At 38.6% G+C, this 24,263-nt stretch overlaps 1 annotated feature.

The window, feature by feature from the left end:
- Positions 1 to 24,263: part of a centromere (Linear centromere model derived predominantly from reads generated in PMID: 17803354. This region does not represent an actual centromere sequence, as long-range ordering of repeats and unmapped WGS contigs is not provided by the model. For details of model production, see http://arxiv.org/abs/1307.0035.) that runs on past both edges of the window.

Genomic DNA, 24,263 nt, shown 5'->3' with positions numbered 1-24,263 from the left:
AACTCCTCCATCAAAAGAAAGGTTATACTCTGTGAATTGAACGCACACATCACAAAGTAGTTTCTGAGAATGATTCTGTCTAGTTTTTATACGAAGATATTTCCTTTTCTACATTTGGCCTAAAAGTGCTTGAAATCTCCACCTGCAAATATCACAAAAAGAGGGTTTCACATCTGCTCTGTCTAAAGGACAGTTCACCTCTGTGAGTTGAATAGAGGCAACACAAAGAACTTACTCAGTATTCTTCTTTCTAGCGTTCTATGAAGAAATCCCGTTTCCAACGAAGGCCTCAAAGAGGTCAAATATCTGCTTGCAGACTTTACAGACAGAGTGTTTCCAAACTACTCTATGAAAAGAAAGCTTAAACTCCTTGAGTTGAACGCACACATCACAAAGTAGTTTCTGAGAATGATTCTGTCTAGTTTTTATACGAAGATGTTTCCTTTTCTACATTTGGTCTCAAAGCGATTGAAATCTCCAACTGGAAACTGCACAAATAGGGTGTTTCAAATCTGCTCTGTCTAAAGGAAGGTTCAACTCTGTGAGTTGAATACACACACCACAAATAAGTTACTGAGAATTCTTCTGTCGAACATTACTTGAAGAAATCCCGTTTCCAACGAAGGCCTCAAAGAGGTCCAAATATCCACTTGCAGACATTACAAACAGAGTGTTTCCAAACTGCTCCATCAAAAGAAAGGTTAAACTCTGTGAGCTGAACACACACATCAAAAAGAAGTTTCTGTGAATGATTCTGTCTAGATTTTATAAGAAGATGTTTCCTTTTCTACCGTAGGCCTCAAAGCGCTTGAAATCTCCAGCTGCAAATTCCACAAAAAGGGTGTTTAACATCTGCTCTTCTAAAGGAAAGTTCAACTCTATGAGTTGAATACACACAGCACAAAGAAGTTACTGAGACTTCTCCTATCAAACATTATATGAAGAAATCCCGTTTCCAACGATGGCCTCAAAGAGGTCCAAATATCTGCTTGCAGACTTTACAAAGACAGTGTCTCCAAACTCCTCCATCAAAAGAAAGGTTATACTCTGTGAATTGAACGCACACATCACAAAGTAGTTTCTGAGAGTGATTCTGTCTAGTTTTTATACAAAGATATTTCCTTTTCTACATTTGGCCTAAAAGCGCTTGAAATCTCCACCTGCAAATATCACAAAAAGAGGGTTTCACATCTGCTCTGTCTAAAGGACAGTTCACCTCTGTGAGTTGAATAGAGGCAACACAAAGAACTTACTCAGTATTCTTCTTTCTAGCGTTCTATGAAGAAATCCCGTTTCCAACGAAGGCCCCAAAGAGGTCCAAATATCTGCTTGCAGACTTTACAGACAGAGTGTTTCCAAACTACTCTATGAAAAGAAAGCTTAAACTCCTTGAGTTGAACGCACACATCACAAAGTAGTTTCTGAGAATGATTCTGTCTAGTTGTTATACGAAGATGTTTCCTTTTCTACATTTGGTCTCAAAGCGATTGAAATCTCCAACTGGAAACTGCACAAATAGGGTGTTTCAAATCTGCTCTGTCTAAAGGAAGGTTCAACTCTGTGAGTTGAATACACACACCACAAATAAGTTACTGAGAATTCTTCTGTCGAACATTACTTGAAGAAATCCCGTTTCCAACGAAGGCCTCAAAGCGGTCCAAATATCCACTTGCAGACATTACAAACAGAGTGTTTCCAAACTGCTCCATCAAAAGAAAGGTTAAACTCTGTGAGCTGAACACACACATCAAAAAGAAGTGTCTGTGAATGATTCTGTCTAGATTTTATAAGAAGATGTTTCCTTTTCTACCGTAGGCCTCAAAGCGCTTGAAATCTCCAGCTGCAAATTCCACAAAAAGGGTGTTTAACATCTGCTCTTCTAAAGGAAAGTTCAACTCTATGAGTTGAATACACACAGCACAAAGAAGTTACTGAGACTTCTCCTATCAAACATTATATGAAGAAATCCCGTTTCCAACGAAGGCCTCAAAGAGGTCCAAATATCCACTTGCAGACGTGACAAACAGAGTGTTTCCAAACTGCTCCATCAAAAGAAAGGTTAAACTCTGTGAGTTGAACACACACATCACAAAGTAGTTTCTGTGAATGATTCTGTCTAGTTTTTATACGAAGATGTTTCCTTTTCTACCTTTGGTCTCAAAGCCATTGAAATCTCCACATGGAAACTCCACAAAAAGAGTGTTTCAAATCTGCTATTTCTGAAGGAAGGTTCAACTCTGTGAGTTGAATACACACACCACAAATAAGTTACTGAGAATTCTTCTGTGTAACATTATATGAGGAAATCCCGTTTCCAACGAAGGCCTCAAAGAGGTCCAAATATCCACTTGCAGACTTTACAAAGACAGTGTCTCCCAACTCCTCCATCAAAAGAAAGGTTATACTCTGTGAATTGAACGCACACATCACAAAGTAGTTTCTGAGAATGATTCTGTCTAGTTTTTATACGAAGATATTTCCTTTTCTACATTTGGCCTAAAAGCGCTTGAAATCTCCACCTGCAAATATCACAAAAAGAGGGTTTCACATCTGCTCTGTCTAAAGGACAGTTCACCTCTGTGAGTTGAATAGAGGCAACACAAAGAACTTACTCAGTATTCTTCTTTCTAGCGTTCTATGAAGAAATCCCGTTTCCAACCGAAGGCCCTAAAGAGGTCCAAATATCTGCTTGCAGACTTTACAGACAGAGTGTTTCCAAACTACTCTATGAAAAGAAAGCTTAAACTCCTTGAGTTGAACGCACACATCACAAAGTAGTTTCTGAGAATGATTCTGTCTAGTTTTTATACGAAGATGTTTCCCTTTCTACAATTGGTCTCAAAGCGATTGAAATCTCCAACTGGAAACTGCACAAATAGGCTGTTTCAAATCTGCTCTGTCTAAAAGAGGGTTCAACTCTGTGAGTTGAATACACACACCACAAATAAGTTACTGAGAATTCTTCTGTCGAACATTACAGGAAGAAATCCCGTTTCCAACGAAGGCCTCAAAGAGGTCCAAATATCCACTTGCAGACATTACAAACAGTGTGTTTCCCAACTGCTCCATCAAAAGAAAGGTTAAACTCTGTGAGCTGAACACACACATCAAAAAGAAGTTTCTGTGAATGATTCTGTCTAGATTTTATAAGAAGATGTTTCCTTTTCTACCGTAGGCCTCAAAGCGCTTGAAATCTCCAGCTGCAAATTCCACAAAAAGGGTGTTTAACATCTGCTCTTCTAAAGGAAAGTTCAACTCTATGAGTTGAATACACACAGCACAAAGAAGTTACTGAGACTTCTCCTATCAAACATTATATGAAGAAATCCCGTTTTCAACGAAGGCCTCAAAGAGGTCCAAATATCCACTTGCAGACTTTACAAAGACAGTGTCTCCAAACTCCTCCATCAAAAGAAAGGTTATACTCTGTGAATTGAACGCACACATCACAAAGTAGTTTCTGAGAATGATTCTGTCTAGTTTTTATACGAAGATATTTCCTTTTCTACACTTGGCCTAAAAGCGCTTGAAATCTCCACCTGCAAATATCACAAAAAGAGGGTTTCACATCTGCTCTGTCTAAAGGACAGTTCACCACTGTGAGTTGAATAGAGGCAACACAAAGAACTTATTCAGTATTCTTCTTTCAACCGTTCTATGAAGAAATCCCGTTTCCAACGAAGGCCCTAAAGAGGTCCAAATATCTGCTTGCAGACTTTACAGACAGAGTGTTTCCAAACTACTCTATGAAAAGAAAGCTTAAACACCTTGAGTTGAACGCACACATCACAAAGTAGTTTCTGAGAATGATTCTGTCCAGTTTTTATACGAAGATATTTCCTTTACTACATTTGGCCTAAAAGCGCTTGAAATCTCCACCTGCAAATATCACAAAAAGAGGGTTTCACATCTGCTCTGTCTAAAGGACAGTTCACCTCTGTGAGTTGAATAGAGGCAACACAAAGAACTTACTCAGTATTCTTCTTTCTAGCATTCTATGAAGAAATCCCGTTTCCAACGAAGGCCCCAAAGAGGTCCAAATATCTGCTTGCAGACTTTACAGACAGAGTTTTTCGAAACTGCTCCATCAAAAGAAAGGTTAAACTCCTTGAGTTGAACACACACATCACAAAGTAGTTTCTGAGAATGATTCTGTCTAGTTTTTATACGAAGATGTTTCCTTTTCTACCTTTGGTCTCAAAGCGATTGAAATCTCCACATGGAAACTCCACAAAAAGAGTGTTTCAAATCTGCTCTTTGTGAAGGAAGGTTCAACTCTGTGAGTTGAATACACACACCACAAATAAGTTACTGAGAATTCTTCTGTGTAACATTATATGAGGAAATCCCGTTTCCAACGAAGGCCTCAAAGAGGTCCAAATATCCACTTGCAGACTTTACAAAGACAGTGTCTCCAAACTCCTCCATCAAAAGAAAGGTTATACTCTGTGAATTGAACGCACACATCACAAAGTAGTTTCTGAGAATGATTGTGTCTAGTTTTTATACGAAGATATTTCCTTTTCTACATTTGGCCTAAAAGCGCTTGAAATCTCCACCTGCAAATATCACAAAAAGAGGGTTTCACATCTGCTCTGTCTAAAGGACAGTTCACCTCTGTGAGTTGAATAGCGGCAACACAAAGAACTTACTCAGTATTCTTCTTTCTAGCGTTCTATGAAGAAATCACGTTTCCAACGAAGGCCCCAAAGAGGTCCAAATATCTGCTTGCAGACTTTACAGACAGAGTGTTTCCAAACTACTCTATGAAAAGAAAGCTTAAACTTCTTGAGTTGAACGCACACATCACAAAGTAGTTTCTGAGAATGATTCTGTCTAGTTTTTATACGAAGATGTTTCCTTTTCTACATTTGGTCTCAAAGCGATTGAAATCTCCAACTGGAAACTGCACAAATAGGGTGTTTCAAATCTGCTCTGTCTAAAGGAAGGTTCAACTCTTTGAGTTGAATACACACACCACAAATAGGTTACTGAGAATTCTTCTGTCGAACATTACTTGAAGAAATCCCGTTTCCAACGAAGGCCTCAAAGAGGTCCAAATATCGACTTGCAGACATTACAAACAGAGTGTTTCCAAACTGCTCCATCAAAAGAAAGGTTAAACTCTGTGAGCTGAACACACACATCAAAAAGAAGTTTCTGTGAATGATTCTGTCTAGATTTTATAAGAAGATGTTTCCTTTTCTACTGTAGGCCTCAAAGTGCTTGAAATCTCCAGCTGCAAATTCCACAAAAAGGGTGTTTAACATCTGCTCTTCTAAAGGAAAGTTCAACTCAATGAGTTGAATACACACAGCCCAAAGAAGTTACTGAGACTTCTCCTATCAAACATTATATGAAGAAATCCCGTTTCCAACGAAGGCCTCAAAGAGGTCCAAATATCTGCTTGCAGACTTTACAAAGACAGTGTCTCCAAACTCCTCCATCAAAAGAAAGGTTATACTCTGTGAATTGAACGCACACATCACAAAGTAGTTTCTGAGAATGATTCTGTCTAGTTTTTATACGAAGATATTTCCTTTTCTACATTTGGCCTAAAAGCGCTTGAAGTCTCCACCTGCAAATATCACAAAAAGAGGGTTTCACATCTGCTCTGTCTAAAGGACAGTTCACCTTTGTGAGTTGAATAGAGGCAACACAAAGAACTTACTCAGTATTCTTCTTTCTAGCGTTATATGAAGAAATCCCGTTTCCAACGAAGGCCTCAAAGAGGTCCAAATATCTGCTTGCAGACATTACAGACAGAGTGGTTCCAAACTACTCTATGAAAAGAAAGCTTAAACTCCTTGAGTTGAACGCACACATCACAAAGTAGTTTCTGAGAATGATTCTGTCTAGTTTTTATACGAAGATATTTCTTTTTCTACATTTGGTCTCAAAGCGATTGAAATCTCCAACTGGAAACTGCACAAATAGGGTGTTTCAAATCTGCTCTGTCTAAAGGAAGGTTCAACTCTTTGAGTTGAATACACACACCACAAATAAGTTACCGAGAATTCTTCTGTCGAACATTACTTGAAGAAATCCCGTTTCCAACGAAGGCCTCAAAGAGGTCCAAATATCCACTTGCAGACATTACAAACAGAGTGTTTCCAAACTGCTCCATCAAAAGAAAGGTTAAACTCTGTGAGCTGAACACACACATCAAAAAGAAGTTTCTGTGAATGATTCTGTCTAGATTTTATAAGAAGATGTTTCCTTTTCTACCGTAGGCCACAAAGTGCTTGAAATCTCCAGCTGCAAATTCCACAAAAAGGGTGTTTAACATCTGCTCTTCTAAAGGAAAGTTCAACTCAATGAGTTGAATACACACAGCCCAAAGAAGTTACTGAGACTTCTCCTATCAAACATTATATGAAGAAATCCCGTTTCCAACGAAGGCCTCAAAGAGGTCCAAATATCTGCTTGCAGACTTTACAAAGACAGTGTCTCCAAACTCCTCCATCAAAAGAAAGGTTATACTCTGTGAATTGAACGCACACATCACAAAGTAGTTTCTGAGAATGATTCTGTCTAGTTTTTATACGAAGATATTTCCTTTTCTACATTTGGCCTAAAAGCGCTTGAAATCTCCACCTGCAAATATCACAAAAAGAGGGTTTCACATCTGCTCTGTCTAAAGGACAGTTCACCTCTGTGAGTTGAATAGAGGCAACACAAAGAAGTTACTGAGTATTCTTCTTTCTAGCGTTATATGAAGAAACCCCGTTTCCAACGAAGGCCTCAAAGAGGTCCAAATATCTGTTCGCAGACTTTACAGACAGAGTGTTTCCAAACTGCTCCGTCAAAAGAAAGGTTAACCTCCTTGAGTTGAACACACACATCACAAAGTAGTTTCTGTGAATGATTCTGTCTAGTTTTTATACGAAGATGTTTCCTTTTCTACATTTGGTCTCAAAGCGATTGAAATCTCCAACTGGAAACTGCACAAATAGGGTGTTTCAAATCTGCTCTGTCTAAAGGAAGGTTCAACTCTGTGAGTTGAATACACACACCACAAATAAGTTACTGAGAATTCTTCTGTCGAACATTACAGGAAGAAATCCCGTTTCCAACGAAGGCCTCAAAGAGGTCCAAATATCCACTTGCAGACATTACAAACAGTGTGTTTCCCAACTGCTCCATCAAAAGAAAGGTTAAACTCTGTGAGCTGAACACACACATCAAAAAGAAGTTTCTGTGAATGATTCTGTCTAGATTTTATAAGAAGATGTTTCCTTTTCTACCGTAGGCCTCAAAGCGCTTGAAATCTCCAGCTGCAAATTCCACAAAAAGGGTGTTTAACATCTGCTCTTCTAAAGGAAAGTTCAACTCTATGAGTTGAATACACACAGCACAAAGAAGTTACTGAGACTTCTCCCATCAAACATTATATGAAGAAATCCCGTTTCCAACGAAGGCCTCAAAGAGGTCCAAATATCTGCTTGCAGACTTTACAGACAGAGTGTTTCCAAACTGCTCCATCAAAAGAAAGATTAAACTCCTTGAGTTGAACACACACATCACAAAGTAGTTTCTGTGAATGATTCTGTCTAGTTTTTATACGAAGATGTTTCCTTTTCTACCTTTGGTCTCAAAGCGATTGAAATCTCCACATGGAAACTCCACAAAAAGAGTGTTTCAAATCTGCTCTTTCTGAAGGAAGGTCCAACTCTGTGAGTTGAATACACACACCACAAATAAGTTACTGAGAATTCTTCTGTGTAACATTATATGAGGAAATCCCGTTTCCAACGAAGGCCTCAAATAGATCCAAATATCCACTTGCAGACTTTACAAAGACAGTGTCTCCAAACTCCTCCATCAAAAGAAAGCTTAAACTCCTTGAGTTGAACGCACACATCACAAAGTAGTTTCTGAGAATGATTCTGTCTAGTTTTTATACGAAGATGTTTCCTTTTCTACATTTGGTCTCAAAGCGATTGAAATCTCCAACTGGAAACTGCACAAATAGGGTGTTTCAAATCTGCTCTGTCTAAAGGAAGGTTCAACTCTGTGAGTTGAATACACACACCACAAAAAAGTTACTGAGAATTCTTCTGTCGAACATTACATGAAGAAATCCCGTTTCCAACGAAGGCCTCAAAGAGGTCCAAACATCCACTTGCAGACATTACAAACAGTGTGTTTCCAAACTGCTCCATCAAAAGAAAGGTTAAACTCTGTGAGCTGAACACACACATCAAAAAGAAGTTTCTGTGAATGATTCTGTCTAGATTTTATAAGAAGATGTTTCCTTTTCTACCGTAGGCCTCAAAGCGCTTGAAATCTCCAGCTGCAAATTCCACAAAAAGGGTGTTTAACATCTGCTCTTCTAAAGGAAAGTTCAACTCTATGAGTTGAATACACACAGCACAAAGAAGTTACTGAGACTTCTCCTATCAAACATTATATGAAGAAATCCCGTTTCCAACGAAGGCCTCAAAGAGGTCCAAATATCCACTTGCAGACATTACAAACAGAGTGTTTCCAAACTGCTCCATCAAAAGAAAGGTTAAACTCTGTGAGCTGAACACACACATCAAAAAGAAGTTTCTGTGAATGATTCTGTCTAGATTTTGTAAGAAGATGTTTCCTTTTCTACCGTAGGCCTCAAAGCGCTTGAAATCTCCACCTGCAAATTCCACAAAAAGGGTGTTTTACATCTGCTCTTCTAAAGGAAAGTTCAACTCTATGCGTTGAATACACACAGGACAAAGAAGTTACTGAGACTTCTCCTATCAAACATTATATGAAGAAATCCCGTTTCCAACGAAGGCCTCAAAGAGGTCCAAATATCTGCTTGCAGACTTTACAGACAGAGTGTTTCCAAACTGCTCCATCAAAAGAAAGGTTAAACTCCTTGAGTTGAACACACACATCACAAAGTAGTTTCTGTGAATGATTCTGTCTAGTTTTTATACGAAGATGTTTCCTTTTCTACCTTTGGTCTCAAAGCGATTGAAATCTCCACATGGAAACTCCACAAAAAGAGTGTTTCAAATCTGCTCTTTCTGAAGGAAGGTTCAACTCTGTGAGTTGAATACACACACCACAAATAAGTTACTGAGAATTCTTCTGTGTAACATTATATGAGGAAATCCCGTTTCCAACGAAGGCCTCAAAGAGGTCCAAATATCCACTTGCAGACTTTACAAAGACAGTGTCTCCAAACTCCTCCATCAAAAGAAAGGTTATACTCTGTGAATTGAACGCACACATCACAAAGTAGTTTCTGAGAATGATTCTGTCTAGTTTTTATACGAAGATATTTCCTTTTCTACATTTGGCCTAAAAGCGCTTGAAATCTCCACCTGCAAATATCACAAAAAGAGGGTTTCACATCTGCTCTGTCTAAAGGACAGTTCACCTCTGTGAGTTGAATAGAGGCAACACAAAGAACTTACTCAGTATTCTTCTTTCTAGCGTTCTATGAAGAAATCCGGTTTCCAACGAAGACCCCAATGAGGTCCAAATATCTGCTTGCAGACTTTACAGACAGAGTGTTTCCAAACTACTCTATGAAAAGAAAGCTTAAACTCCCTTGAGTTGAACGCACACATCACAAAGTAGTTTCTGAGAATGATTCTGTCTAGTTTTTATACGAAGATGTTTCCTTTTCTACATTTGGTCTCAAAGCGATTGAAATCTCCAACTGGAAACTGCACAAATAGGGTGTTTCAAATCTGCTCTGTCTAAAGGAAGGTTCAACTCTTTGAGTTGAATACACACACCACAAATAAGTTACTGAGAATTCTTCTCCCGAACATTACTTGAAGAAATCCCGTTTCCAACGAAGGCCTCAAAGAGGTCCAAATATCCACTTGCAGACATTACAAACAGAGTGTTTCCAAACTGCTCCATCAAAAGAAAGGTTAAACTCTGTGAGCTGAACACACACATCAAAAAGAAGTTTCTGTGAATGATTCTGTCTAGATTTTATAAGAAGATGTTTCCTTTTCTACCGTAGGCCTCAAAGCGCTTGAAATCTCCAGCTGCAAATTCCACAAAAAGGGTGTTTAACATCTGCTTTTCTAAAGGAAAGTTCAACTCTATGAGTTGAACACACACAGCACAAAGAAGTTACTGAGACTTCTCCTATCAAACATTATATGAAGAAATCCCGTTTCCAACGAAGGCCTCAAAGAGGTCCAAATATCTGCTTGCAGACTTTACAGACAGAGTGTTTCCAAACTGCTCCATCAAAAGAAAGGTTAAACTCCTTGAGTTGAACACACACATCACAAAGTAGTTTCTGTGAATGATTCTGTCTAGTTTTTATACGAAGATGTTTCCTTTTCTACCTTTGGTCTCAAAGCGTTTGAAATCTCCACATGGAAACTCCACAAAAAGAGTGTTTCAAATCTGCTCTTTCTGAAGGAAGGTTCAACTCTGTGAGTTGAATACACACACCACAAATAAGTTACTGAGAATTCTTCTGTGTAACATTATATGAGGAAATCCCGTTTCCAACGAAGGCCTCAAAGAGGTCCAAATATCCACTTGCAGACTTTACAAAGACAGTGTCTCCAAACTCCTCCATCAAAAGAAAGGTTATACTCTGTGAATTGAACGCACACATCACAAAGTAGTTTCTGAGAATGATTCTGTCTAGTTTTTATACGAAGATATTTCCTTTTCTACATTTGGCCTAAAAGCGCTTGAAATCTCCACCTGCAAATATCACAAAAAGAGGGTTTCACATCTGCTCTGTCTAAAGGACAGTTCACCTCTGTGAGTTGAATAGAGGCAACACAAAGAACTTACTCAGTATTCTTCTTTCTAGCGTTCTATGAAGAAATCCCGTTTCCAACGAAGGCCTCAAAGAGGTCCAAATATCTGCTTGCAGACTTTACAGACAGAGTGTTTCCAAACTACTCTATGAAAAGAAAGCTTAAACTCCTTGAGTTAAACGCACACATCACAAAGTAGTTTCTGAGAATGATTCTGTCTAGTTTTTATACGAAGATGTTTCCTTTTCTACATTTGGTCTCAAAGCGATTGAAATCTGCAACTGGGAACTGCACAAATAGGGTGTTTCAAATCTGCTCTGTCTAAAGGAAGGTTCAACTCTGTGAGTTGAATACACACACCACAAATAAGTTACTGAGAATTCTTCTGTCGAACATTACAGGAAGAAATCCCGTTTCCAGCGAAGGCCTCAAAGAGGTCCAAATATCCACTTGCAGACATTACAAACAGAGTGTTTCCAAACTGCTCCATCAAAAGAAAGGTTAAACTCTGTGAGCTGAACACACACATCAAAAAGAAGTTTCTGTGAATGATTCTGTCTAGATTTTATAAGAAGATGTTTCCTTTTCTACCGTAGGCCTCAAAGCGCTTGAAATCTCCAGCTGCAAATTCCACAAAAAGGGTGTTTAACATCTGCTCTTCTAAAGGAAAGTTCAACTCTATGAGTTGAATACACACAGCACAAAGAAGTTACTGAGACTTCTCCTATCAAACATTATATGAAGAAATCCCGTTTCCAACGAAGGCCTCAAAGAGGTCCAAATATCTGCTTGCAGACTTTACAGACAGAGTGTTTCCAAACTGCTCCATCAAAAGAAAGGTTAAACTCCTTGAGTTGAACACACACATCACAAAGTAGTTTCTGTGAATGATTCTGTCTAGTTTTTATACGAAGATGTTTCCTTTTCTACCTTTGGTCTCAAAGCGATTGAAATCTCCACATGGAAACTCCACAAAAAGAGTGTTTCAAATCTGCTCTTTCTGAAGGAAGGTTCAACTCTGTGAGTTGAATACACACACCACAAATAAGTTACTGAGAATTCTTCTGTGTAACATTATATGAGGAAATCCCGTTTCCAACGAAGGCCTCAAAGAGGTCCAAATATCCACTTGCAGACTTTACAAAGACAGTGTCTCCAAACTCCTCCATCAAAAGAAAGGTTATACTCTGTGAATTGAACGCACACATCACAAAGTAGTTTCTGAGAATGATTCTGTCTAGTTTTTATACGAAGATATTTCCTTTTCTACATTTGGCCTAAAAGCGCTTGAAATCTCCACGTGCAAATATCACAAAAAGAGGGTTTCACATCTGCTCTGTCTAAAGGACAGTTCACCTCTGTGAGTTGAATAGAGGCAACACAAAGAACTTACTCAGTATTCTTCTTTCTAGCGTTCTATGAAGAAATCCCGTTTCCAACGAAGGCCCCAAAGAGGTCCAAATATCTGCTTGCAGACTTTACAGACAGAGTGTTTCCAAACTACTCTATGAAAAGAAAGCTTAAACTCCTTGAGTTGAACGCACACATCACAAAGTAGTTTCTGAGAATGATTCTGTCTAGTTTTTATACGAAGGATGTTTCCTTTTCTACATTTGGTCTCAAAGCTCTTGAAATCTCCAACTGGAAACTGCACAAATAGGCTGTTTCAAATCTGCTCTGTCTAAAGGAAGGTTCAACTCTGTGAGTTGAATACACACACCACAAATAAGTTACTGAGAATTCTTCTGTCGAACATTACATGAAGAATTCCCGTTTCCAACGAAGGCCTCAAAGAGGTCCAAATATCCACTTGCAGGCATTACAAACAGAGTGTTTCCAAACTGCTCCATCAAAAGAAAGGTTAAACTCTGTGAGCTGAACACACACATCAAAAAGAAGTTTCTGTGAATGATTCTGTCTAGATTTTATAAGAAGATGTTTCCTTTTCTACCGTAGGCCTCAAAGCGCTTGAAATCTCCAGCTGCAAATTCCACAAAAAGGGTGTTTAACATCTGCTCTTCTAAAGGAAAGTTCAACTCTATGAGTTGAATACACACAGCACAAAGAAGTTACTGAGACTTCTCCTGTCAAACATTATATGAAGAAATGCCGTTTCTAACGAAGGCCTCAAAGAGGTCCAAATATCCACTTGCAGACGTGACAAACAGAGTGTTTCCAAACTGCTGCATCAAAAGAAAGTTTAAACTCCTTGAGTTGAACACACACATCACAAAGTAGTTTCTGTGAATGATTCTGTCTAGTTTTTATACGAAGATGTTTCCTTTTCTACCTTTGGTCTCAAAGCGATTGAAATCTCCACATGGAAACTCCACAAAAAGAGTGTTTCAAATCTGCTCTTTCTGAAGGAAGGTTCAACTCTGTGAGTTGAATACACACACCACAAATAAGTTACTGAGAATTCTTCTGTGTAACATTATATGAGGAAATCCCGTTTCCAACGAAGGCCTCAAAGAGGTCCAAATATCCACTTGCAGACTTTACAAAGACAGTGTCTCCAAACTCCTCCATCAAAAGAAAGGTTATACTCTGTGAATTGAACGCACACATCACAAAGTAGTTTCTGAGAATGATTCTGTCTAGTTTTTATACGAAGATATTTCCTTTTCTACATTTGGCCTAAAAGCGCTTGAAATATCCACCTGCAAATATCACAAAAAGAGGGTTTCACATCTGCTCTGTCTAAAGGACAGTTCACCTCTGTGAGTTGAATAGAGGCAACACAAAGAACTTATTCAGTATTCTTCTTTCTAGCGTTCTATGAAGAAATCCCGTTTCCAACGAAGGCCTCAAAGAGGTCCAAATATCTGCTTGCAGACTTTACAGACAGAGTGTTTCCAAACTACTCTATGAAAAGAAAGCTTAAACCCCTTGAGTTGAACGCACACATCACAAAGTAGTTTCTGAGAATGATTCTGTCTAGTTTTTATATGAAGATGTTTCCTTTTCTACATTTGGTCTCAAAGCGATTGAAATCTCCAACTGGAAACTGCACAAATAGGGTGTTTCAAATCTGCTCTGTCTAAAGGAAGGTTCAACTCTGTGAGTTGAATACACACACCACAAATAAGTTACTGAGAATTCTTCTGTCGACCATTACTTGAAGAAATCCCGTTTCCAACGAAGGCCTCAAAGAGGTCCAAATATCCACTTGCAGACATTACAAACAGAGTGTTTCCAAACTGCTCCATCAAAAGAAAGGTTAAACTCTGTGAGCTGAACACACACATCGAAAAGAAGTTTCTGTGAATGATTCTGTCTAGATTTTATAAGAAGATGTTTCCTTTTCTACCGTAGGCCTCAAAGCGCTTGAAATCTCCAGCTGCAAATTCCACAAAAAGGGTGTTTAACATCTGCTCTTCTAAAGGAAAGTTCAACTCTATGAGTTGAATACACACAGCACAAAGAAGTTACTGAGACTTCTCCTATCAAACATTATATGAAGAAATCCCGTTTCCAACGAATGCCTCAAAGAGGTCCAAATATCTGCTTGCAGACTTTACAGACAGAGTGTTTCCAAACTGCTCCATCAAAAGAAAGGTTAAACTCCTTGAGTTGAACACACACATCACAAAGTAGTTTCTGTGAATGATTCTGTCTAGTTTTTATACGAAGATGTTTCCTTTTCTACCTTTGGTCTCAAAGCGATTGAAATCTCCACATGGAAACTCCACAAAAAGAGTGTTTCAAATCTGCTCTTTCTGAAGGAAGGTTCAACTCTGTGAGTTGAATACACACACCACAAATAAGTTACTGAGAATTCTTCTGTGTAACATTATATGAGGAAATCCCGTTTCCAACGAAGGCCTCAAAGAGGTCCAAATATCCACTTGCAGACTTTACAAAGACAGTGTCTCCAAACTCCTCCATCAAAAGAAAGGTTATACTCTGTGAATTGAACGCACACATCACAAAGTAGTTTCTGAGAATGATTCTGTCTAGTTTTTATACGAAGATATTTCCTTTTCTACATTTGGCCTAAAAGCGCTTGAAATCTCCACCTGCAAATATCACAAAAAGAGGGTTTCACATCTGCTCTGTCTAAAGGACAGTTCACCTCTGTGAGTTGAATAGAGGCAACACAAAGAACTTACTCAGTATTCTTCTTTCTAGCGTTCTATGAAGAAATCCCGTTTCCAACGAAGGCCTCAAAGAGGTCAAATATCTGCTTGCAGACTTTACAGACAGAGTGTTTCCAAACTACTCTATGAAAAGAAAGCTTAAACTCCTTGAGTTGAACGCACACATCACAAAGTAGTTTCTGAGAATGATTCTGTCTAGTTTTTATACGAAGATGTTTCCTTTTCTACATTTGGTCTCAAAGCGATTCAAATCTCCAACTGGAAACTGCACAAATAGGGTGTTTCAAATCTGCTCTGTCTAAAGGAAGGTTCAACTCTGTGAGTTGAATACACACACCACAAATAAGTTACTGAGAATTCTTCTGTCGAACATTACATGAAGAAATCCCGTTTCCAACGAAGGCCTCAAAGAGGTCCAAATATCCACTTGCAGACATTACAAACAGAGTGTTTCCAAACTGCTCCATCAAAAGAAAGGTTAAACTCTGTGAGCTGAACACACACATCAAAAAGAAGTTTCTGTGAATGATTCTGTCTAGATTTTATAAGATGTTTCCTTTTCTACCGTAGGCCTCAAAGCGCCTGAAATCTCCAGCTGCAAATTCCACAAAAAGGGTGTTTAACATCTGCTCTTCTAAAGGAAAGTTCAACTCTATGAGTTGAATACACACAGCACAAAGAAGTTACTGAGACTTCTTCTGTCTAACATTATATGAAGAAATCCCGATTCCAACGAAGGCCTCAAAGAGGTCCAAATATCTGCCTGCAGACTTTACAGACAGAGGGTTTCCAAACTGCTCCATCAAAAGAAAGGTTAAACTCCTTGAGTTGAACACACACATCACAAAGTAGTTTCTGTGAATGATTCTGTCTAGTTTTTATACGAAGATGTTTCCTTTTCTACCTTTGGTCTCAAAGCGATTGAAATCTCCACATGGAAACTCCACAAAAAGAGTGTTTCAAATCTGCTCTTTCTGAAGGAAGGTTCATCTCTGTGAGTTGAATACACACACCACAAATAAGTTACTGAGAATTCTTCTGTGTAACATTATATGAGGAAATCCCGTTTCCAACGAAGGCCTCAAAGAGGTCCAAATATCCACTTGCAGACTTTACAAAGACAGTGTCTCCAAACTCCTCCATCAAAAGAAAGGTTATACTCTGTGAATTGAACGCACACATCACAAAGTAGTTTCTGAGAATGATTCTGTCTAGTTTTTATACGAAGATATTTCCTTTTCTACATTTGGCCTAAAAGCGCTTGAAATCTCCACCTGCAAATATCACAAAAAGAGGGTTTCACATCTGCTCTGTCTAAAGGACAGTTCACCTCTGTGAGTTGAATAGAGGCAACACAAAGAACTTACTCAGTATTCTTCTTTGTAGCGTTATATGAAGAAATCCCGTTTCCAAAGAAGGCCTCAAAGAGGTCCAAATATCTGCTTGCAGACTTTACAGACAGAGTTTTTCCAAACTACTCTAGGAAAAGAAAGCTTAAACTCCTTGAGTTGAACGCAAACATCACAAAGTAGTTTCTGAGAATGATTCTGTCTAGTTTTTATACGAAGATGTTTCCTTTTCTACATTTGGTCTCAAAGCGATTGAAATCTCCAACTGGAAACTGCACAAATAGGGTGTTTCAAATCTGCTCTGTCTAAAGGAAGGTTCAACTCTGTGAGTTGAATACACACACCACAAATAAGTTACTGAGAATTCTTCTGTCGAACATTACTTGAAGAAATCCCGTTTCCAAAGAAGGCCTCAAAGAGGTCCAAATATCCACTTGCAGACATTACAAACAGAGTGTTTCCAAACTGCTCCATCAAAAGAAAGGTTAAACTCTGTGAGCTGAACACACACATCAAAAAGAAGTTTCTGTGAATGATTCTGTCTAGATTTTATAAGAAGATGCTTCCTTTTCTACCGTAGGCCTCAAAGCGCTTGAAATCTCCAGCTGCAAATTCCACAAAAAGGGTGTTTAACATCTGCTCTTCTAAAGGAAAGTTCAACTCTATGAGTTGAATACACACAGCACAAAGAAGTTACTGAGACTTCTCCTATCAAACATTATATGAAGAAATCCCGTTTCCAACGATGGCCTCAAAGAGGTCCAAATATCTGCTTGCAGACTTTACAAAGACAGTGTCTCCAAACTCCTCCATCAAAAGAAAGGTTATACTCTGTGAGTTGAACGCACACATCACAAAGTAGTTTCTGAGAATGATTCTGTCTAGTTTTTATACGAAGATATTTCCTTTTCTACATTTGGCCTAAAAGCGCTTGAAATCTCCACCTGCAAATATCACAAAAAGGTTGTTTCACATCTGCTCTGTCTAAAGGACAGTTCACCTCTGTGAGTTGAATAGAGGCAACACAAAGAACTTACTCAGTATTCTTCTTTCTAGCGTTCTATGAAGAAATCCCGTTTCTAACGAAGTCCCCAAAGAGGTCTAAATATCTGCTTGCAGACTTTACAGACAGAGTGTTTCCAAACTAGTCTATGAAAAGAAAGCTTAAACTCCTTGAGTTGAACGCACACATCAGAAAGTAGTTTCTGAGAATGATTCTGTCTTGTTTTTATATGAAGATATTTCCGTTTCTATGATTGGCCTCCAAGCGATTGAAATCTCCAACTGGAAACTGCACAAATAGGGTGTTTCAAATCTGCTCTGTCTAAAGGAAGGTTCAACTCTGTGAGTTGAATACACACACCACAAATAACTTACTGAGAATTCTTCTGTCGTACATTACATGAAGAAATCCCGTTTCCAAAGAAGGCCTCAAAGAGGTCCAAATATCCACTTGCAGACATTACAAACAGAGTGTTTCCAAACTCCTCCATCAAAAGAAAGGTTAAACTCTGTGAGTTGAACACACACATCACAAAGTAGTTTCTGTGAATGATTCTGTCTATTCTTCAGAAGAAGATGTTTCCTTTTCTACCGTAGGCCTCAAAGCGCTTGAAATCTCCAGCTGCAAATTCCACAAAAAGGGTCTTTAACCTCTGCTCTTCTAAAGGAAAGTTCAACTCCATGAGTTGAATACACACAGCACAAAGAAGTTACTGAGACTTCTCCTATCAAACATTATATGAAGAAATCCCGTTTCCAACGAAGGCCTCAAAGAGGTCCAAATATCCACTTGCAGACGTGACAAACAGAGTGTTTCCAAACTGCTCCATCAAAAGAAAGGTTAAACTCTGTGAGTTGAACACACACATCACAAAGTAGTTTCTGTGAATGATTCTGTCTAGTTTTTATACGACGATGTTTCCTTTTCTACCTTTGGTCTCAAAGCGATTGAAATCTCCACATGGAAGCTCCACAAAAAGAGTGTTTCAAATCTGCTCTTTCTGAAGGAAGGTTCAACTCTGTGAGTTGAATACACACACCACAAATAAGTTACTGAGAATTCTTCTGGGTAACATTATATGAGGAAATCCCGTTTCCAACGAAGGCCTCAAAGAGGTCCAAATATCCACTTGCAGACTTTACAAAGACAGTGTCTCCAAACTCCTCCATCAAAAGAAAGGTTATACTCTGTGAATTGAACGCACACATCACAAAGTAGTTTCTGAGAATGATTCTGTCTAGTTTTTATACGAAGATATTTCCTTTTCTACATTTGGCCTAAAAGCGCTTGAAATCTCCACCTGCAAATATCACAAAAAGAGGGTTTCACATCTGCTCTGTCTAAAGGACAGTTCACCTCTGTGAGTTGAATAGAGGCAACACAAAGAACTTACTCAGTATTCTTCTTTCTAGCGTTCTATGAAGAAATCCCGTTTCCAACGAAGGCCCCAAAGAGGTCCAAATATCTGCTTGCAGACTTTACAGACAGAGTGTTTCCAAACTACTCTATGAAAAGAAAGCTTAAACTCCTTGAGTTGAACGCACACATCACAAAGTAGTTTCTGAGAATGATTCTGTCTAGTTTTTATACGAAGATGTTTCCTTTTCTACATTTGGTCTCAAAGCGATTGAAATCTCCAACTGGAAACTGCACAAATAGGGTGTTTCAAATCTGCTCTGTCTAAAGGAAGGTTCAACTCTGTGAGTTGAATACACACACCACAAATAAGTTACTGAGAATTCTTCTGTCGAAAATTACTTGAAGAAATCCCGTTTCCAACTAAGGCCTCAAAGAGGTCCAAATATCCTCTTGCAGACATTACAAACAGAGTGTTTCCAAACTGCTCCATCAAAAGAAAGGTTAAACTCTGTGAGCTGAACACACACATCAAAAAGAAGTTTCTGTGAATGATTCTGTCTAGATTTTATAAGAAGATGTTTCCTTTTCTACCGTAGGCCTCAAAGCGCTTGAAATCTCCAGCTGCAAATTCCACAAAAAGGGTGTTTAACATCTGCTCTTCTAAAGGAAAGTTCAACTCAATGAGTTGAATACACACAGCACAAAGAAGTTACTGAGACTTCTCCTATCAAACATTATATGAAGAAATCCCGTTTCCAACGAAGGCCTCAAAGAGGTCCAAATATCTGCTTGCAGACTTTACAGACAGAGTGTTTCCAAACTGCTCCATCAAAAGAAAGGTTAACCTCCTTGAGTTGAACACACACATCACAAATTAGTTTCTGTGAATGATTCTGTCTAGTTTTTATACGAAGATGTTTCCTTTTCTACCTTTGGTCTCAAAGCGATTGAAATCTCCACATGGAAACTCCACAAAAAAGAGTGTTTCAAATCTGCTCTTTCTGAAGGAAGGTTCAACTCTGTGAGTTGAATACACACACCACAAATAAGTTACTGAGAATTCTTCTGTGTAACATTATATGAGGAAATCCCGTTTCCAACGAAGGCCTCAAAGAGGTCCAAATATCCACTTGCAGACTTTACAAAGACAGTGTCTCCAAACTCCTCCATCAAAAGAAAGGTTATACTGCTGTGAATTGAACGCACACATCACAAAGTAGTTTGCTGAGAATGATTCTGTCTAGTTTTTATACGAAGATATTTCCTTTTCTACATTTGGCCTAAAAGCGCTTGAAATCTCCACCTGCATATATCACAAAAAGAGGGTTTCACATCTGCTCTGTCTAAAGGGCAGTTCACCTCTGTGAGTTGAATAGAGGCAACACAAAGAACTTACTCAGTATTCTTCTTTCTAGCGTTCTATGAAGAAATCCCTTTTCCAACGAAGGCCTCAAAGAGGTCCAAATATCTGCTTGCAGACTTTACAGACAGAGTGTTTCCAAACTACTCTATGAAAAGAAAGCTTAAACTCCTTGAGTTGAATTCACACATCACAAAGTAGTTTCTGAGAATGATTCTGTCTAGTTTTTATACGAAGATGTTTCCTTTTCTACATTTGGTCTCAAAGCGATTGAAATCTCCAACTGGAAACTGCACAAATAGGGTGTTTCAAATCTGCTCTGTCTAAAGGAAGGTTCAACTCTGTGAGTTGAATACACACACCACAAATAAGTTACTGAGAATTCTTCTGTCGAACATTACTTGAAGAAATCCCGTTTCCAACGAAGGCCTCAAAGAGGTCCAAATATCCACTTGCAGACATTACAAACAGAGTGTTTCCAAACTGCTCCATCAAAAGAAAGGTTAAACTCTGTGAGCTGAACACACACATCAAAAAGAAGTTTCTGTGAATGATTCTGTCTAGATTTTATAAGAAGATGTTTCCTTTTCTACCGTAGGCCTCAAAGCGCTTGAAATCTCCAGCTGCAAATTCCACAAAGAGGGTGTTTAACATCTTCTCTTCTAAAGGAAAGTTCAACCCTATGCGTTGAATACACACAGCAGAAAGAAGTTACTGAGACTTCTCCTATCAAACATTATATGAAGAAATCCCGTTTCCAACGAAGGCCTCAAAGAGGTCCAAATATCTGCTTGCAGACTTTACAGACAGAGTATTTCCAAACTGCTCCATCAAAAGAAAGGTTAAACTCCTTGAGTTGAACACACACATCACAAAGTAGTTTCTGTGAATGATTCTGTCTAGTTTTTATAAGAAGATGTTTCCTTTTCTACCTTTGGTCTCAAAGCGATTGAAATCTCCACATGGAAACTCCTCAAAAAGAGTGTTTCAAATCTGCTCTTTCTGAAGGAAAGTTCAACTCTGTGAGTTGAATACACACACCACAAATAAGTTACTGAGAATTCTTCTGTGTAACATTATATGAGGAAATCCCGTTTCCAACGAAGGCCTCAAAGAGGTCCAAATATCCACTTGCAGACTTTACAAAGACAGTGTCTCCAAACTCCTCCATCAAAAGAAAGGTTATACTCTGTCAATTGAACGCATACATCACAAAGTAGTTTCTGAGAATGATTCTGTCTAGTTTTTATACGAAGATATTTCCTTTTCTACATTTGGCCTAAAAGCGCTTGAAATCTCCACCTGCAAATATCACAAAAAGAGGGTTTCACATCTGCTCTGTCTAAAGGACAGTTCACCTCTGTGAGTTGAATAGAGGCAACACAAAGAACTTACTCAGTATTCTTCTTTCTAGCATTCTATGAAGAAATCCCGTTTCCAACGAAGGCCCCAAAGAGGTCCAAATATCTGCTTGCAGACTTTACAGACAGAGTTTTTCCAAACTGCTCCATCAAAAGAAAGGTTAAACTCCTTGAGTTGAACACACACATCACAAAGTAGTTTCTGTGAATGATTCTGTCTAGTTTTTATAAGAAGATGTTTCCTTTTCTACCTTTGGTCTCAAAGCGATTGAAATCTCCACATGGAAACTCCTCAAAAAGAGTGTTTCAAATCTGCTCTTTCTGAAGGAAGGTTCAACTCTGTGAGTTGAATACACAAACCACAAATAAGTTACTGAGAATTCTTCTGTGTAACATTATATGAGGAAATCCCGTTTCCAACGAAGGCCTCAAAGAGGTCCAAATATCCACTTGCGGACATTACAAACAGTGTGTTTCCCAACTGCTCCATCAAAAGAAAGGTTAAACTCTGTGAGCTGAACACACACATCAAAAAGAAGTTTCTGTGAATGATTCTGTCTAGATTTTATAAGAAGATGTTTCCTTTTCTACCGTAGGCCTCAAAGCGCTTGAAATCTCCAGCTGCAAATTCCACAAAAAGGGTGTTTAACATCTGCTCTTCTAAAGGAAAGTTCAACTCTATGAGTTGAATACACACAGCACAAAGAAGTTACTGAGACTTCTCCTATCAAACATTATATGAAGAAATCCCGTTTCCAACGAAGGCCTCAAAGAGGTCCAAATGTCTGCTTGCAGACTTTACAGACAGAGTGTTTCCAAACTGCTCCATCAAAAGAAAGGTTAAACTCCTTGAGTTGAACACACACATCACAAAGTAGTTTCTGTGAATGATTCTGTCTAGTTTTTATACGAAGATGTTTCCTTTTCTACCTTTGGTCTCAAAGCGATTGAAATCTCCACATGGAAACTCCACAAAAAGAGTGTTTCAAATCTGCTCTTTCTGAAGGAAGGTTCAACTCTGTGAGTTGAATACACACACCACAAATAAGTTACTGAGAATTCTTCTGTCGAACATTACAGGAAGAAATCCCGTTTCCAACGAAGGCCTCAAAGAGGTCCAAATATCCACTTGCAGACATTACAAACAGTGTGTTTCCCAACTGCTCCATCAAAAGAAAGGTTAAACTCTGTGAGCTGAACACACACATCAAAAAGAAGTTTCTGTGAATGATTCTGTCTAGATTTTATAAGAAGATGTTTCCTTTTCTACCGTAGGCCTCAAAGCGCTTGAAATCTCCAGCTGCAAATTCCACAAAAAGGGTGTTTAACATCTGCTCTTCTAAAGGAAAGTTCAACTCTATGAGTTGAATACACACAGCACAAAGAAGTTACTGAGACTTCTCCTATCAAACATTATATGAAGAAATCCCGTTTCCAACGAAGGCCTCAAAGAGGTCCAAATATCTGCTTGCAGACTTTACAGACAGAGTGTTTCCAAACTGCTCCATCAAAAGAAAGGTTAAACTCCTTGAGTTGAACACACACATCACAAAGTAGTTTCTGTGAATGATTCTGTCTAGTTTTTATACGAAGATGTTTCCTTTTCTACCTTTGGTCTCAATGCGATTGAAATCTCCACATGGAAACTCCACAAAAAGAGTGTTTCAAATCTGCTCTTTCTGAAGGAAGGTTCAACTCTGTGAGTTGAATACACACACCACAAATAAGTTACTGAGAATTCTTCTGGGTAACATTATATGAGGAAATCCCGTTTCCAACGAAGGCCTCAAAGAGGTCCAAATATCCACTTGCAGACTTTACAAAGACAGTGTCTCCAAACTCCTCCATCAAAAGAAAGGTTATACTCTGTGAATTGAACGCACACATCACAAAGTAGTTTCTGAGAATGATTCTGTCTAGTTTTTATACGAAGATATTTCCTTTTCTACATTTGGCCTAAAAGCGCTTGAAATCTCCACCTGCAAATATCACAAAAAGAGGGTTTCACATCTGCTCTGTCTAAAGGACAGTTCACCTCTGTGAGTTGAATAGAGGCAACACAAAGAACTTACTCAGTATTCTTCTTTCTAGCGTTCTATGAAGAAATCCCGTTTCCAACGAAGGCCCCAAAGAGGTCCAAATATCTGCTTGCAGACTTTACAGACAGAGTGTTTCCAAACTACTCTATGAAAAGAAAGCTTAAACTCCTTGAGTTGAACGCACACATCACAAAGTAGTTTCTGAGAATGATTCTGTCTAGTTGTTATACGAAGATGTTTCCTTTTCTACATTTGGTCTCAAAGCGATTGAAATCTCCAACTGGAAACTGCACAAATAGGGTGTTTCAAATCTGCTCTGTCTAAAGGAAGGTTCAACTCTGTGAGTTGAATACACACACCACAAATAAGTTACTGAGAATTCTTCTGTCGAACATTACATGAAGAAATCCCGTTTCCAACGAAGGCCTCAAGGGGTCCAAATATCCACTTGCAGACATTACAAACAGAGTGTTTCCAAACTGCTCCATCAAAAGAAAGGTTAAACTCTGTGAGCTGAACACACACATCGAAAAGAAGTTTCTGTGAATGATTCTGTCTAGATTTTATAAGAAGATGTTTCCTTTTCTACCGTAGGCCTCAAAGCGCTTGAAATCTCCAGCTGCAAATTCCACAAAAAGGGTGTTTAACATCTGCTCTTCTAAAGGAAAGTTCAACTCTATGAGTTGAATACACACAGCACAAAGAAGTTACTGAGACTTCTCCTATCAAACATTATATGAAGAAATCCCGTTTGCAACGAAGGCCTCAAAGAGGTCCAAATATCTGCTTGCAGACTTTACAGACAGAGTTTTTCCAAACTGCTCCATCAAAAGAAAGGTTAAACTCCTTTAGTTGAACACACACATCACAAAGTAGTTTCTGTGAATGATTCTGTCTAGTTTTTATACGAAGATGTTTCCTTTTCTACCTTTGGTCTCAATGCGATTGAAATCTCCACA

The sequence above is a fragment of the Homo sapiens genome, chromosome 12 (assembly GCF_000001405.40).
Source record: "Homo sapiens chromosome 12, GRCh38.p14 Primary Assembly".
Taxonomy (NCBI): Eukaryota; Metazoa; Chordata; class Mammalia; order Primates; family Hominidae; genus Homo; species Homo sapiens.
This window is presented reverse-complemented; position numbering and strand designations above follow the sequence as displayed.